Source organism: Homo sapiens, chromosome 2 (genome assembly GCF_000001405.40).
Source record: "Homo sapiens chromosome 2, GRCh38.p14 Primary Assembly".
Taxonomy (NCBI): Eukaryota; Metazoa; Chordata; class Mammalia; order Primates; family Hominidae; genus Homo; species Homo sapiens.
Window position 1 is genome coordinate 24,329,566 of NC_000002.12, and position 17,748 is coordinate 24,347,313.

The following is a 17,748-nucleotide window of genomic DNA, read 5'->3' on the forward strand; positions in this document are numbered from 1 at the left end:
CCGTTCCATGAATTTTGAGAGTAGGACCAGTTAGGAAGTGAAGGCCTAGCAAATTTATAGCAATGCACTTAGTAATTAAAACCATGGATCATAATATTGCAGGAAAACACTACTATATTAAAAGATCATGCCGTATCTCATCTATTTACCCAAATCATTTAAATATTAATATTTTTAGAAGCCTAAGAAAAATATTTGCACAGCCATTTTAAACAAAGAAGGCATTAAGTAGTACATACATCGTGGTCAACGTTTCTCACCATTTTATAGCTAGCTTAAAAAATGAACACAGAAGGAAGTCCCATCAATCAAGTTATGACTGCAACTTCCTCAAATACAGAAATACTGCAAACAAATATAACATTTTTACTTCTTCAATTTTAAATCATAAGTAATGTTAACCCAAAATAAGCTACATGGCTAAAAACAAACTATCTACTTAACAGATATGCAGTAGCAAGGGCCCTTATTCATTAGTTTTCTGTGGCTGAGACCATTTTAAAACATGGGAGAAAACCCACTATTGCAAATAATGCATTTTCTAACTCTGCATAATAGCATGTGAATTATAAAGATGGCTCTAACAACAGAAAAACCAACGAGGAATGGGATCCCATGGACACAAGGCCTTAATCAGTTGGGATCTAGGTCTAAAACTTACAAATCATCTGTCTAGAACCATTTGTTCGTCATCACGTATTCTGTGAATACAAAAGAATGCCAAATAGAGAGCAACGTGAAGAAGAAGACGCGAGAACGAACCCCGGACTGACCAAAGCCTGCATGCCACTGCATCCTGTGCCAAGTGCTTACCTCCTGCCACCGTTGCCACCACCATGCCCAAGAGAAAGGGTGAAGGGGATGCTAAAGGAGATAAAGCCAAGGTGAAGAACGAACCACAGAGAAGACCCATGAGGTTGTCTGCTAAACCTGCTCCTCCAACGCCAGAGCCCAAGCCTGAAAAGGCCCCTGCAAAGAAGGGAGAGAAGGTACCCAAAGGGAAAAAGGGAAAAGCTTATGCTGGCAAGGAGGGGAATAACCTTGCAGAAAATGGAGATGCTAAAACAGACGGGGCACAGAAAGCTGAAAGTGCTGGAGATGCCAAGTGAAGTGTGTGTATTTTTTATAACTGTGTACTTCTGGTGACAGTAGTTTGAAATACTATTTTTTATCAAGTTTTATAAAAAATGCAGAATTTCATTTTACTTTTTTTTTTTTTTAGATGAATTCTCGCTCTATCGCCCAGGCTGGAGTGCAGTGGCGTGATCTTGGCTCACTGCAACCTCCACCTCGTGGGTTCACGCGATTCTCCTGCCTCAGCCTCCTGAGTAGCTGGGATTACAGGCAGGCGCCACCACACCTGGCTAATTTTTGTATTTTTAGCAGAGATGGCGTTTCACCATGTTGGTCAGGCTTGTCTCGAACTCCTGACCTCAGGTGATCCACCTGCCTCAGCCTCCCAAAGTGCTGAGATTATAGGCATGAGCCACTGCACCCGGCCACTTTTTTTTTTTTTTTTTTTTAAGGCAGAGTTTCGCTCTTGTTGCTCAAGCTGGAATGCAATGGCGCGATCTTGGCTGACTGCAACCTCCGCCTCCCAGGTTCAAGCAATTCTCCTGCCTCAGCTTCCCAAGTAGCTGGGATTACAGTTGCGCATCATCACGCCCGGCTAATTTTTTGTATTTTTAGTAGAAATGGGGTTTCACTATGTTAGCCAGGCTGGTCTTGAACTCCTGACCTCAGGTGATCCACCTGCCTCAGCCTCCCAAAGTGCTGGGATTACAGGCATGAGCCACTGTGCCCAGCCTACTTTTTTTTTTTTTAAGCTATGTTGTTAGCACACAGAACACTTCATTGTTGTTTTTGGGGGAAGGGCCATATGTCACTAATAGAATGTCTCCGAAGCTGGACTAATGTGGAGGAAACACCTTTCCCTTCTAGTTTTGAGAGAGTTCCTCTTGGCTCCCAGGAGGAGGGATTCCCTGACTTTAACACACATGGCCACCTTGGCACAAAAGCCTTGTGGTATGGAAAACAAATTTGTTTTTATGTCCTCTTCTCCCTTTCCGTCCTTCAGCAGAGACTTAACTCCCTTAAACCCAGACATCTGTTGAGACCTGACCCCCCAATCATTAGTTACCAGTGTGTCAGGCAATCTGGACTTTCCAGTGATGCCACTGAGACGGCACCTGTCAAAAGAGCAGTGGTTCTTCAGATAAATTCTGCCATTTTCATTTCACTTCCTGAAAGTCAGGGTCGGCTGGGAAAAGTTGTTAAACAATATGCTAAATGTGAAATGTCAACCCTCACTCTAAACTTTCCCTGTTCACAGCATCAGATGAAGACTTCATTGGGTTTTAGAGTGGCTTTCAAGAAGGGAGTTTGAAAGTTGTTGTGGCCAGGCGCAGTGGTTCATGCCTGTAATCCCAGCACTTTGGGAGGCCAAGGCAGGCAGATCACCTGAAGTCAGGAGTTCAAGACCAGCCTGACCAACATGGTGAAACCCCATCTCTACTAAAAATACAAAATTAGCCAGGCGTGGGGCACATGCCTGTAATCCCAGCTACTTGGGTGGCTGCGGCAGGAGAATCGCTTGAACCCAGGAGGTGGAGGTTGCAGTGAGCCAAGATCAGGCCATTGCACTCCAGCATGGGCAACAAGGGCAAAACTCCGTCTCAAAAAAAAAGGAAAATTGTTGTATACTCAATGATTGTCTGCCCATGTCCTGCCTGAAATACCATGATTGTTTACGGAAAGTATCTTTAATAAAGCTGGATACAGTTTGGCTTGGGAAAAAAAAAAAGAATGCCAAATAGTAGATGCTCAGTAATCACAGGCATAATTCTGAAATAAAACCTGAGAATGAACTAAATATTAATAATATTACTGGCAATAAGGGCAAATCCCTTGGGTAAAGCTGAAGGTACTAGTATTACAGAATCTTTATCATCTGGTATGTGGAATTTAGCCACCCATGCACATAGGTACCATATTATATGTAACATTTATATTGTATGTAACATCTGATTAACTGTGGTAACATCTAAATATGGGAGTATATTTTGTTGGAACCAATAAGCTTTTAAAACATATCATTTCATATCTATTACATTTCTATTCTCTCTGCCCCACTGTGGAATAATTACCTAATGCTTAACAATTCTACTAGTCTATTTGCAGAGTAGTACTTAACAATTATAATTGAAATTTTGAAAATGCAACAGATACCAAAAACTTTGTTTTACATTTTTCAAAAAGCAATTAATAAATTAACATTTACTGTTTACCATTAATTCAATACACTTCTGTTGATCACAGTAGATGTACTGTGTCATGCTGAGTATTCATTGAGAATCCAATGTTTCAGGTTCTGCAGAAGGAGCTTCAGACACTGACAAGCTTGTAGACTTATCTACCAGGTGCCAGATACTGCTAGGCACCTTTGATAATATGGATACTCCTCTCACAATATCCCCACAAGGCAGATGATACTGTACTCATTTCACAGAAGAAACTGAAGAGGTTAAATTACTTGCCCAAATTCAGTATGTCATGAAGCCAGAATGCAATCCCAAGCCTGTCTAATTCTTAAGCCCATGAACTTCCCATGGGCTTTATCTGCCTCTTCCTCTCTTAAATGGAGATAATGCGTCACAGGTTCCTACAAACAGCAGGAGAACTTACTGTTAGCACATTTGTCCAGGAGAAGAAAAACAAGCCAGAGATGACTCCCAACACACTGGACAGCATCAATCACATACATAAATTAGGGAGTGCTAATTGTTTCTTATCTCTTGGTATAACTCTCTGAAAGGAAGAAAAGGGTAACCAGCATCTCCCCAGGTACATGACTGGCGCCTGTTTCAGGCAAGTGCAACTGAAGTCAGCATCCAACAAACACCCCTTTCTACTCTTCACAGGGGATGAAATGTAGTGACAGGCAATTTTGGCAAATTTGCAGTCATCATGTATTTTGAATACTGTTAGTTATGTATGGTTTTTAGAATGTTCATATGATTTTCCTGCTCATTAAAAATTAATGCAGAACTGGCATTGTTCCCTTTGTAGAAACCAAGAAAATATATTGGGTAAATAGTAGGCATAAGGCAAAGAACACTGCTTCAATTTAATATAATTCAGTTGCCATTTGGAGTAATTGCCAAACGTACTTTAGACAATGTAGAAAATATACTCACACTAAGACAGAAAAAAGTAGAAATGCTAGAACAAAAGCAGGAAATCCTGCTTTTACAAACGGTCAGTAAGACTCAGAAAAAGTCACAGCCATTATAAGTGAAAAGTCGCTTAATTAAGGTTTAGGGGTTTTTTTGTTTTGTTTTTTGAGACAGAGTCTCATTCTGTCACTCAGACTGGAGTGCAGTGGCACAATCTCGGCTCACTGCAACCTCCACTTCCTGGGTTCAAGTGATTCTCCTGCCTCAGCCTCTTAAGTAGCGGGGACTACAAGCGCACGCCACCACACCTGGCTAATTTTTTTTTTTCTTTTTTTTGAGATGGAGTCTCCCTCTGTCACCCAGGCTGGAGTGCAATTGTGCGATCTCAGCTCACTGCAACCTCCGCCTCCCAGGTTCAAGCAATTTTCCTGCCTCAGCCTCCCAAGTAGCTGGGATTACAGGTGCCCAGCACCGCGCCCAGCTAATTTTTGTATTATTAGTAGAGAGGAGGTTTCGCCATGTTGGCCAGGCTGGTTTTGAACTCCTGACCTCACGTGATCCGCCCGCCTCGGCTTCCCAAAGTGTTGCGATTACAGGCATCAGCCACTGTGCCCAGCCTGATTTTTGTATTTTTAGTAGAGATGGGGTTTCACCATCTTGGCCAAACCCCAAACCCCTTGGCCCAGCCAAGGTTAAAGTTTTTGTTTGTTAAGAAGCACAGTTACAGAAAGAATTACAATTACTTTCCGTGCCAATAGCGCTCATGCAAACATGGTGAACATTCCTAAAACCCGCAGGACTTTCTGTAAGAAGTGTGGCAAGCACCAACCCTGCAAAGTGACACAGTACAAGAAGGGCAAGAATTCTCTGTATGCCCAGGGAAAGTGGTGTTATACAGGAAGCAGAGTGGTTATGGTGGGCAAACTAAGCTGATTTTCCAGAAAAAGGCTAAAACTACAAAGAAGATTGTGCTAAGGCTTGAGTGCGTTGAGCCCAACTGCAGATCTAAGAGAATGTTGGCTATTAAAAGATGCAAGCATTGGCCGGGCGCGGTGGCTCACGCCTGTAATCCCAGCACTTTGGGAGGCCGAGGCGGGCGGATCACGAGGTCAGGAGATCGAGACCATCCTGGCTAACAAGGTGAAACCCCGTCTCTACTAAAAATACAAAAAATTAGCCGGGCGTGGTAGCGGGCGCCTGTAGTCCCAGCTACTCGGGAGGCTGAGGCAGGAGAATGGCGTGAACCCGGGAGGCGGAGCTTGCAGTGAGCCGAGATCGCGCCACTGCACTCCAGCCTGGGCGACAGAGCGAGACTCCGTCTCAAAAAAAAAAAAAAAAAAAAAAAAAAAAAAAGATGCAAGCATTTTGAACTGGGAAGAGATAAGAGAAAGGGCCAAGTGACCCAGTTCTAAGTGTCATCTTTTCTTTTATTATAAAGACAATAAAATCTTGAGTTTATGTTAAAAAAATAATAATTACAATTATCATTTAGTCCAAAACCCTCAATTTTCAAGGTGGGAAAACTAAGAAACTTGTAAAAGATCACAAGTTAGTAGCAAAGGTCCCAGAAACTACATCTCTGATGTACATGTCCAGTGCTCTGGTTTTTTAAGACAAAGTATCACCCTGCCACGCAGGCTGGAATGCAGAGACATGATCTCAGCTCACTGCAACCTCTGCCACCTGGGCTTGAGCAATCCGCCCACCTCAGCCTCCTGAGGAGCTAGGACTACAGGCGTGTACCACCATGCTCAGCTAATTTTTAAATTTTTTTGTAGAGATGCGGCCTCACTACATTTCCCAGGCTGGTCTCCAACTCCTGGGCTCAAGTGAACCTCCCACCTTGGCCTCCCAAAGTGCTGGGATTACAAGCGAAAGCCACTGCACCCAGCCTTCCAGGGCTGTTTGTTTGTTTTTGAGACAGAGTCTCACTCTATCCCCCAGGCTGGAGTGCAGTGCGCCATCTTGGCTCACTGCAACCTCCGCCTCCCTGGTTCAAGTGATTCTCATGCCTCAGCCTCCCGAGTAGCTGGGATTAAGGTGCCTGCCACCATGCCCAGCTAATTTTTGTATTTTTAGTAGGGACGGGGTTTCGCCATGTTGGCCAGGCTGGTCTCAAACTCCTGACCTCAGGTGATCTGCCCGCCTCCCAAAGTGCTGGGATTACAGGCGTGAGCAACCACGCCCAGCCCAGTGCTCTGTTCTTAAAAGTTTCCCTTGGCCGGGCATGGTGGCTCAAGCCTGTAATCCCAGCACTTTGGGAGGCCGAGGCAGGTGGATCACGAGGTCAGGAGATCGAGACCATCCTGGCTAACATGGTGGAACCCCGTCTCTACTAAAAATACAAAAAAATTAGCCAGGCATGGTGGCGGGCACCTGTAGTCCCAGCTACTTGGGAGGCTGAAGCAGGAGAATGGCATGAACCCAGGAGGCGGAGCTTGCAGTGAGCCGAGATGGAGCCACTGCACTCCAGCCTGGGCCACAGAGCGAGACTCTGTCTCAAAAAAAAAAAAAAAAAAAAAGTTTCCCAACTTGCCCACTCATATCACCTGGGATATTTACTAACTGTACATTATGAATAGAACCTAAATAAATGTTATTGGCTTGAGACCCTTCCACACAGCTACTAGTTTTTTCTTAAAGCACTCATTAATGCCCCTTTCCTGCTTAGAAAATCTTCCACTGATTACAAGTTAAAGTCCAAACTTCTTAGTATGAAATACGGCCCTCTTCAGTATCTCACTGTATCACATACTCCAGGTACTTTCCATTTCCATATGTCCTAAGTATACCAATCTTTTTTGAAACAGTAACTTTTGTTCTCTCCTCTACTCCTTCATAAAGAGGTGCTCCCTTTGTCATGGTCATCACACTTTCTTCTCCTTCTTTGATTCCCAATTCAAATGTCATCTTGTCTTTGAAAGACTTCTATCCTCCCAGGTAGTTAGTCACTATCTCCTATGTGTGTCCATACACTTGTTTACACCACAATAACCTCATTTATCACACTATTTTAATTTCATGATTGCCTGTTTCACATGTCCTGGGGAGAGACCATTTTTATTTACCTCCATATGCCTGGTTTCTAAACCAGATCTTCCAAAGAAAACACTCGATAAACATTTGCTGAACAAATGAATTGGGTAAATAATATGGTTGAGATACCAAAAAAGATGTGAATAAAGCAAGCAGGGAGAGGCAACGATGAACTGAATATACAGAAAGGAAACCAGCAGGAAGCAGAACAGGCTCCAACCTACTTCCATTAAACCCTGCAGAAATCAGAGTTGTGCAACATGGCTCTCCTGTAACTTGGCTTTTCTTTTTTTTTTTTTGAGTATACTTTTAAAGAAAGGTTTATTTCCCATTGACTTCTGAAGGTTTTTTATCGAGAGTGAGGAAGGCGGCTCAGGTTTTTTAATTACTTCATGATTCAATATTTTGAATCATTTTGATTAAATAAATTTGACGAATGGTCTGACATTCAAAAGCACAATCATCAATCATCATGTTCCTGCAGGCGTGTGTGTCTATATGTATGTATGTGTGTGTGTGTGTGTGTGTGTATACACAAAATATATATATATATATATATATATATATATATATATATGTAATTTTTTTTTTTAAGACAGAGTCTCGCTCTATCACCCAGGCTGGAGTGCAGTGGCATGATCTCGGCTCACTGCAACCTCAGCCTCCTGGGTTCAAGTGATTCTCCTGCCTCAGCCTCCCAAGTAGCTGGGATTACAGGCGCGCACCACCATGCCCAGCTAATTTTTTGTATTTTTAGTAAAGACGGGGTTTCACCATGTTGGCCAGGCTGGTCTTGAACTCCTGACCTTGTGATCTGCCTACCTCAGCCTCCCAGAGTGCTGGGATTACAGGCGTGAGCCACCACGCCTGGCTTTTTTTTTTTTTTTTTTTTCTAGAGACATGGTCTTGCTACATTACCCAGGCTAGACTCAAACTCCTGATCTCAAGAGATCCTCCTGCTGCCTCAGCCTCTCGAATAGCTAGGACTACAAGTGTGCACCACTATGCCCAGCTTCCTGCAGGTATATTTTATAAAACTTTCTCTAGTGTCTCTGCCACTCCCAGCATGTGCTAGGTACACACAGCCAACTTCCAAACTATACTTGCTGATCAGTTGAGAAAAGTGTTCCTGTCTCATTTAGTTCCCAAGGAGATCAAGGTCAGTTCTCTATGAATGTAAACCAAAAATAAAATTCTAAGGCCCCCCAACCTTCTGAATGGACTTCCTTCTCATCCAGGGCACTGTTAAAATTTAACCTGAGGCTGGTTCAGGCCGTGATGGGAAGTGGGGTTCAGACATACTCATTAAACCCTCACTGGCCTTAACATCAACACAGACTTAGTCTGATAAGAAGCATTTACATCTATCCTCTCAGAAGCCTGCCACCCAGAGGCTTCATCTGCATGATAAAACTTTAGTGTTTATAACCTCTTATCAACATAACCCAGTCTTTTCCTTTCTATTGATCCCAGGTCTTTAGATAAACTCAAGCTATTGTCAACCAGAAAATTTTTAAATCTACCTATAAACTGGAATCCCACCCTCCCCTTCGAGTTGTCCCACCTTTCTGGATGGAACCAATGTATTTCTTAAATGTATTTGATTGAAGTCTCTTGTCTCCCTAAAATGTATAAAACCAAGCTGCACCCTGACCACCTTGGGCACATGTTCTCAGGACCTCCTGAAGGCTGTGTCATGGGCCATGGTCACTCATATTTGGCTCAGAATAAATCTCTTCATATATTTTAGAGAGTTTGGTTCTTTTCATCGACATGAGAAGAGCTGGAGCAAAATTACCTGCTACTTTATAGTTTCTGCAGTAAGATGAAATTTACAGAATACATATATTCTCCACCTATGCATTCATTCATTCTTTCATTCTACCATTCATTTATTCATCAAACATGAATGGTCATTATAATAAAGGGACTTGGCCAGGTGCAGTGGCTCACACCTGTAATCCCAACAACTCAAGAGACTAAGGCAGGAGGATTGATGAGGCCAGAAGTTCAAGACCAGCCCAGGCAACACAGCAAGACCCCAACTCTACAAAAATAATAATAAATAATAAAGGGATTTGGGGAATGCCAAGAGAACCCAGAGAACAGAACGAACACTACTTGAGAGGTAAATCAAAGTAAGGTACATGTAATCAAGGAGGTAATATTTGTGTAAGAATTATCTAACATGAGGTCGGTGGCAAACTGAGTGAACTCCAAGTGTCCTTGGAGTGAATGACATTGTATAGTGTGCAGATAGGCTCTGTTATAAAGAAAGGAAGTTTCTGAGCCTGAGAGAAGGACTAGTTAAAAGAAGGAAAGCACAAGAGCCAGTGTAACACCAAAACCACTCCTACTCGTATTCAAAAACTGTGCGATTTGAGAGTGATGTAATTTCAAAGAAGTCACTTCATCTTAAGAGGTACAAGAGGCCAGGTGTGGTAGCTCACACCTGTAATCCCAGCACTTTAGGAGGCCAAGGCAGGCAGATCATTTGAGTCCTGGGCTACACAAGGAAACTCCATCTCTACAAAAAACACAAAAATTAGCCGGGTGTGGCGGTGCATGCCTGTAGTCCCAGCTACTCAGGAAGCTGAGGTGGGAGGGTCACTTGAACTTGGAAGGCGAAGGTTGCAGTGACCTGAGATTGCGCCACTGCACTCCAGCCTGAGCGACAGAGTGAGACGCCGTCTCAAAAAAAAAAAAAAAAAGAGTTAAACCTTTAGAAACCCAGTAGTCTTCAAATTACGCTCCTTGGAGTTCTAAAAGTTTCAAGGAGGTACAACAGAGGTGGGGTAGGGAGGAAAGAGGGAAGGTTGGAAGGGATACCAACTTCAGTGAGACTAGCTCTGTTTTTGTGTTTTATATATTGAAGCTTCTCTGTAAGATTTCACCTGATTTTTTCTTAAAGATAAATGACAACACACTGAATTCCATCCTCTTCATTTCAGAAACAACTAAATAGGTCAGGTGTGGTTCACGGCTCATGCCTGCAATCCCAGCACTTTGGGAGGCCACAGTGGGAGGATCACTTGAGCCTAGGAGCTCAAGACTAGCCTGGGCAACACAGGGAGACTCTTTCTCTACAAAAAATTAAAAACTTAGTTGGGCATGGTGGCACACACCTGTAGTTCTAGCTACTCAGGAAGTAGCTACTCAGGAGGTGAAAGGATCATTTGAGCCCGGGAGTTCAAGGTTACAATGAGCTATGATTATGTCACTGCACTCCAGCTTGGGTAACAAAGTGAGACAGTGTCTCTAAAATAAAATAATGTAAAAAAAAACAAGTAGAAGCCAAAGAGATTAAGTAACCAAGATCACACAATTTAAGACAAACAGTAAGTCATGCTATTGATTTTGGACATTGCTGTGCAAGTCATGGAGAGCCAGTATTTAAAACACAGTATAAAGTTGAATGTACTTGGCAGGGCGCGGTGGCTCACGCCTGAAATCCCAACACTTTGGGAGGCCGAGGCGGCAGATTACCTGAGGTCAGGAGTTTGAGACCACCCTGGCCAAGATGGTATAACCCCATCTCTACTAAAAATACAAAAATTAGCCAGGCATGGTGGCACACGCTTGTAGTCCCAGCTACTTGGGAGGCTGAGGCAGGAGAATCGCTTGAACCCGGGGGGTGGAGGTTACAGCGAACTGAGATCACGTCACTGCACTCCAGCCTGGGTGACAGAACGAAACTCCATCTCAAAAAAAAAAAAAAGTTGAATGTACTTGTTTACCCAGCATCAAGATGAAGAAAGTCAAAATCGTCGCAGTCCCCAAAGTCCCCTCATGCTCCCTTCCAGCCTCTGTCCCACCAGGGAAACATGATCCCAACTTCTAATACCATAGATTCGTTCTGTCTGCTAAGGTACTTCATATGAATGGAATTATGTAGCCCGTTGTGTCTCTTTTGTTCAGCATTTGGTCTATAAGTTGTGTCATTATAGATCCTGTGTTCTCAAAAAAGGAAAAAAAACACACACACACACACACATATAGTATATGTTCTAGTTAGAGACCCACATTTGGTAGTTATCAGAGATTGGGAATACTTGTAATGTCAGTGAATTACATTATCCAGGGAAAGTACATATAAAAAAATATATAAGAAGACTGGTCTTTTAAGAGGAGAGGAAGACAACTCTGACAAGCAGTATAGGAACAAACTGGATTTTGAGTCTTGAGACAAACACACCAATTATGAAGTGACTGGCATAGTCCAGGTGGTGAGAACTTGAACTTGAGCAATGGAGAAGAGGTATTTCAAAGGTAGAATAGACAGGATTTTCTGGTCAGCTAAATGTGGAAGATGAAAGAGGAGCATCACAGATGGGTTTCTATCTTGGGTGACTGTAGAGCAGTAATATTAACCAAGATAGAAGCTCTAAGAAAGTAGGAATCTAGATATTAGATTTGAGGGATGAACAACAAAATGTTCAATTTTGAGCACACCTAATCTGATCCACCTACAAAGACATCTAGATGGAAGTGTCCAAGATATAGTGAACACTCTATCTAGAAACCCAGATTTCGTAGTCATTAGGGATTGGGAGTAGTTGTAATCATGTGGGTGAATGACATTATCCAGGGAAATCATGTATAAGAAAAAAGAGACAAGAATAGTCAGAAACAGAGGTTCAGAAACACGAGAAATCGGGATACAGAGTTAAGAGTTTCAAGGAGAAAATGGTATTGTCACAGAAGTTAAGACTCAGCTATTAGTGTTGGCAATCTGGAGTGAGTGTAGTTCTAGCACAGTGATGGCTATAGAAGCCAAATTGAAGTAGATTAGGCAATAAATGTTTAAAATAAGGGGAAGAGCCTGGGTGTGGTGCCTCACACCTATAATCCAAGCACTTTGGGAGGCTGAGGCAGGCAGATGACATGAAGTCAGGAGACCGGTCTCACGGTCAACATGGTGAAACCCTGTCTCTATTAAAAATACAAAAATGCGCCGGGCATGGTGGTGAGTGCCTGTGAGGCGGGAGAATAGCTTGAACCTGGGAGGTGGAGGTTGCAGGGAGCCAAGATCGCACCACTGCCCTCCAGCCTGGGCGACAGAGCAAGATTTCCTCTCAAAAAATACATAGGAAAAAAGGTAAGATTTAAGAAAGGGAGGCAGAGTTATTATAAGGCTTTAGTTTTTAGGTGACAGAACAAAACTATTTTTAGACAAAAAAAAGAAATAAAGATTTAATTTACAAAAAGGAGATGGGAGAGAAGTTACCTAATGGAAGTTAGGGCCAGAAAAAGAAGTAGTAGACAGCTCTAGAACACGAAGTTAGAACCTGGGACAGATATTTCTGTCTCTAAGAATGAAGTTCAGGAAGGGGAGTAAGAATGAACAAAGGCATACATAAGTTTAGAAGCAGAAGAAAGAGCGATTGAGAAGGTACAGATTTTCTTCTACCATTTTTTTTTCTTTTAGAGATATATAATCTTTTTGAGACAGTCAATGTTGCCAAGGCTGGAGTGCAGTGGCATAATCACGGTGCACTGCAGCCTCGACCTCCCAGGCTCACGTGATTCTCCCACCTCAGCTTTTCAAGCGGCTGGGACCACAAGAGCACGCTGCCAAGCCCGGCTAATTTTTAAAATTTCTTATAGAGGTGCAGTCTCCCTATGTTGCCCAGGCTGGTCTCAAACTCCTAAGCTCAAGTGATCCTCCCACCTCAGCCTCCCAATGCAAGCTTTCTTTGTCTCTCTTCTTTAGGCTCAGACAACAGTCCAAAGGGCAGAGCTAAGGACAGACTCCTTGATCTCGTAGGCCCTCAAGTGTCTAAGCACAAATTTCTCTCCTCTTCAAGCCATAAAAGAGAAAGACACATGCAAATCAGTTCCCATGACTCAACCAGATATGTGCATTTCAGCTTGCATTCAAATCAGCTTAGGCCCTACACATCAAAACATTTGTTAAAATGAATGAATGTGAAGGAAAACATTCTAGGCAGAGGTTACTCTGCAAAAGCAGAGTAACTAGTGTGGTCTGGAAAAATAGAAGATTACTTACTCACATGAAATAGTGAAGGGCTGGCCTGGCACAGTGGCTCATGCCTGTAATCCTAGCACTTGGGAGGCCGAGGCAAGTGGATCACCTTGAGCTCAGGAGTTCAAGACCAGCCTGGGCAACACAGTGAAACCCCTCTCTACCAAAAATAAAAAAAATCAGCCAGGCGAGGTGGCATGTGCCTGTGGTCCCAAGTACTCAGGAGGCTGAGGAGGGAGGACTGCTTGAGTCTGTAAGATGGGGGTTGCAGTGAGTCAAGATCGTGCCACTGTACTCCAGCCTGAGTAACAGAGTGAGACCCCATCTCAAAAAAAAAAAAAAAAGTGAAAGGCTAACAACAATGCAAGGAACCATAACAATAGATACAAAAATAAGTACAATGTTAATGCCTAGCTGATACAAATGTCAATTAGCATAAGATCCTTAAAACAACCTGAAAAATTAAACATTAAAAAATATATATATAATAGAAAGTGAAAGTCCATTACCAAGAAAACAATCATTAGCAGTTTTGAATAGATTGTTCCAGATATTTCCTATTTATACACTAGCAAATACCACTTTTACACAAATGAAGTCATACTTCATTGTTCTGCTTTTTTCATGTTACCAATTTTTCACAGTGAATAAGTAATCTTCTATTTTTCCAGACCACACTAGTTACTCTGCTTTTGCTTGTACTGTAACCACTGCCTAGAATGTTTCCCTTCATGTTCATTTTAACAAATGTTACAATTAATGCTACAATAAACATTCTTCATACATGTGTGTAAATATAGGTCTGTGGACAGATATGTGCTTCCAAAGATAAATTCTAGAAGTGGAAGTAGCAGGTTAGAGAGCATGAACATTCTAATTTTAATAGATAATACCAAACAGCCTAAATTGGACTTTACCTATAAAGTCTCTCAATACAGGCTGATAGCATAATACCAATAAGATGCGGTTTAGAGACACAACCCTCTAACTCTGACTTAATTCAAAAGACATTTTAGAGTACCTATACCAGTAATATACTCCATTTCCTCTAAGCAATTTTCCACAAACATTATTTCCCTTAACTAAGCTTTCCTCTCCAAATAAATGTAATTTATAAGCACATGCTCCACAAAAATCTCAAACATGAAAAACTTACTAAGCGGACTCCACAGACAGGGGAGGAGGGGTGAACCTGAAGACCCAGTCCTGATTACCACAGTTAACAGTTTGGTATTTGTTTTTCCAGATTTATTTTATGCATATATAAACAAACATGTTATTTTTCAAACCCAAATAAAATTATGCTAGCCAATTAATATTCTATTATTTTCATTACACATATTACAGATATCCTTCCATAGCAATATATAATACATCAATCATATCCTTTTAAATAGGTGTACAGCATTTTATTATATGGATATACCAGAAATTAAGCTATCTTCCACTGGTGGACATTAAGACGGTTTCCAGTTTTTTGCCTAACAAACCATACTACTTTGAACATCCTCATCCTCATATATATACTGAGTATTTAGGTAGGACAATACTTCTAGAAGTAGAATTAATGGGTATCAAGTTGCTTTCCAAAATTTATTAATAGTACCATTTTATATTCCCATTGGTGTGTAAACATACTTGTTTCTGTATAATCTTGCCAATATTTGGTATGAACAATTATTTTATGTATTGCCAACCTGAGAGGCAAATTTTTTCTAAATTTTCATTTCTCTGATCATTAGGGAACTCAGCATTTTTCATATATCTATCATGTATATTTCTCCTATGAATTGCCTATTCATTTATTTTGCCCATTTTCTATAGCATGCTGTTCAATGGAAATGCAACACAAACTACATAATGTAATTTTAAATGTTCTAGTAGCCACATTTTAAAAAGTAAAATTAGGCCAGGTGCAGTGGCTCACGCCTGTAATCCCAGCACTTTGGGAAGCTGAGGCAGGTGGATCACCTGAGGTCAGGAGTTCAAGACCAGCCTGTCCAACATGGTAAAACTCCATCTCTACTAAAAATATAAAAATTAGCTGGGCGTGGTGGCGGGCACCTGTAATCTCAGCTACGCAGGAAGCTAAGGCAGGACAATCGCTTGAATCTGAGAGGCAGAGGTTGCAGTGAGCCCAGATTGCGCCAGTGCATTCCAGCCTGGATAATAGAGTGAGACTACATTTCAAAAAAATAAATAAAAAGTAAAAATAAACGGGTAAAATCTGTATTAATATATTTTAATTAGTTCATATCTAAATATTATCACCTCAACATATGATCAGTATAAAAATTCTTATGACATTTTACATTTTTGTACTGTCTTCAAACTCCAGCTTTTACACTTATTATACACTTAGAGTACTTCTCAATATAGAACTAGCCACATTTCAAGTGCTGATTAACCACATATTAAAGGCTACTGTATGGGATAGTGTGGTTCTATAGGATCTTTATATGTGAGAGCTCAGATTTCCCCCATTTCAGCCTTTTTTCCCCTATGTTTTTATTTTTACTGTACAAATAATTTAAAAGCAAAGGCTTCAAATAATGTACAATTATGAAGAGCAAAACATGACAGTCATTCTTTATTACCTCACTCACAGTACCATCTCCAAGATAACCATATCAGCCACTGAAGTACATTCTCACAGCCTATTTTTACATATTATATAAACGTATATATACCCATATGTATTTTACATTGTCTAAACCTTCTTCTAAGATAATACCCATCAGAAATACCACATTCGATTCTACATAATATTCAACAGGATGGGTAGATCAAAATTTATTTTTTAATAGACACATAATACATTAATACTCTCATTGTAAAAACTTAAAACATACAAATAAAGCCAATTCTTTTGACCATCCTTCCCCATCAGTCTCTGAAAATACCCAGTGCTGTTAACAACATGACCTGTATCCACGGATCTTTTTCTATGCATTACAATAATAGATATTATATTAATAGTAAGCTTTTACCTGTAACATATGCTATAAATGCTTTTAATCTAGCTTGTTTGTCTTTTAATTTTAGGGCATCTTTCATTATACCAATTTAAATTTGTTGGTCTTTCTTTTATGACTAGTGAGTGTCTTGTCATACAAAGAAAGGCCTGTCTCATACCAGGTCTTATACCAGAAAATTGTCCTATATTTTATTCTAGTACCTCTATGATTTAAGGGTTTTATGTATATATTTGATCTACGTGGATTTTATTTTGGAGTGAAGAAATGGATATGAGTCCAAATTGTTTGCGCTACCCTTCTACCACCACCACTTGCGATGTCTAGCAGTGTCTACCCTTCTTATCTCTATGACCTCTAAGACTGTATCCCAGCCCACAAAGATGGAAAGGCAGAAGGCTACGTAGAGTATAGCACAGAAAGGAGGGTGGGGGATTAACTGTAGAGAGGAAAAACTTGACAAACACTACTTTAGCCAGCTGGTCAAGGTCAACATCAACAGTCATAAAGCATGCAGACAGTATGTGCTCTTGATAAGATGAAAGTATCATTTTGCCTTTGTCATCTTCCTCCTAAAAATTCACTAACTTAGTCCAAGCATGACAAATCATCAAATTCCAATATACTTACAATATATTTATATATCTCCTACAATATCTGTCCAGTAACCTCTCAAAACTGTCAAAGTCATCAAAAACAAGGAAAGTCTAAGGAACTGTCACAACTAAGAGGAGCCTAAGGAGACATGACAGCTAAATGTAATGTGGTGACCTGGAACAGAACAAGGATATTAAATAAAAACTAAGGAAACTGAAATAATGCATAGACTTCAGTTAATCATAATACAATCAGTATTGTTCATTATTCCTAACATATGTACCATACTGATATAAGATATTAATAATAGTGGAAACTATGTGTGGGGTACATGAAGGGATATATGGGAACTCTGTTCTACTCGCTCCATTTTTCTGTAAATTTAAAACTGTTTAAAAAATAAGCCTATCAATTTTATAAAAAGCAAATACCTCAGAAGTAGAAGAGTATAGGTAAATATGTGCCTCTAATTTTGACCACATTCATTAAAAACAAAATACCCACTTGATCCACATGGAAATTTATCTTTTTTTTTTTTTTTTTTTTTTGAGATGGAGTCTCGCTCTGTCACCTAGGCTGGAGTGCAGTGGCATGATCTCGGCTCACTGCGACCTCCACCTCCCGGTTTCAAGTGATTCTCCTACCTCAGCCTCCCGAGTAGCTGCTACTACAGGCACCCGCCACCACGCCCAGCTAATTTTTTTTGTACTAGTAGAGACAGGGTTTCACCATATTGGCCAGGCTGGTCTTGAACTCCTGACCTTGTGATCTGCCGACCTCAGCCTCCCAAAGTGCTAGGATTACAGGCGTGAGCCACCGCAACCAGCAGAAATTTATCTTAAGAAAATATCTAAAGAACAAAAATAGATTGCAAGGATGCATAGTACAGTTTTACCAATATTAGAAAAAATACAAATAAGCTAATTTATCCAAAAATAGAGAAAGAAGCAAAAAATTAAAGTTACATTCACTCAGAATA

General features: G+C 40.9%; 1 protein-coding gene and 2 pseudogenes across 23 annotated transcripts in view, besides 1 other annotated feature; 2 read left to right on the forward strand and 1 right to left on the reverse strand.

Moving 5' to 3' along the window:
• ITSN2 (intersectin 2) overlaps nt 1-17,748 on the reverse strand; it is a 158,505-nt gene that overhangs the window by 126,702 nt on the left and 14,055 nt on the right. The gene's annotated exons all lie outside the window — the stretch shown is intronic.
• Nucleotides 329-398: an enhancer, noted in NCBI's record as "active region_15431". NCBI's record gives its function as "activates an Ori minimal core promoter by ATAC-STARR-seq in GM12878 lymphoblastoid cells {active_cell/tissue: GM12878}" and the evidence as "EXISTENCE:reporter gene assay evidence [ECO:0000049][PMID:35858748]".
• Nucleotides 730-2,791, forward strand: HMGN2P20 (high mobility group nucleosomal binding domain 2 pseudogene 20; annotated as a pseudogene).
• Nucleotides 4,915-5,216, forward strand: RPL36AP13 (ribosomal protein L36a pseudogene 13; annotated as a pseudogene).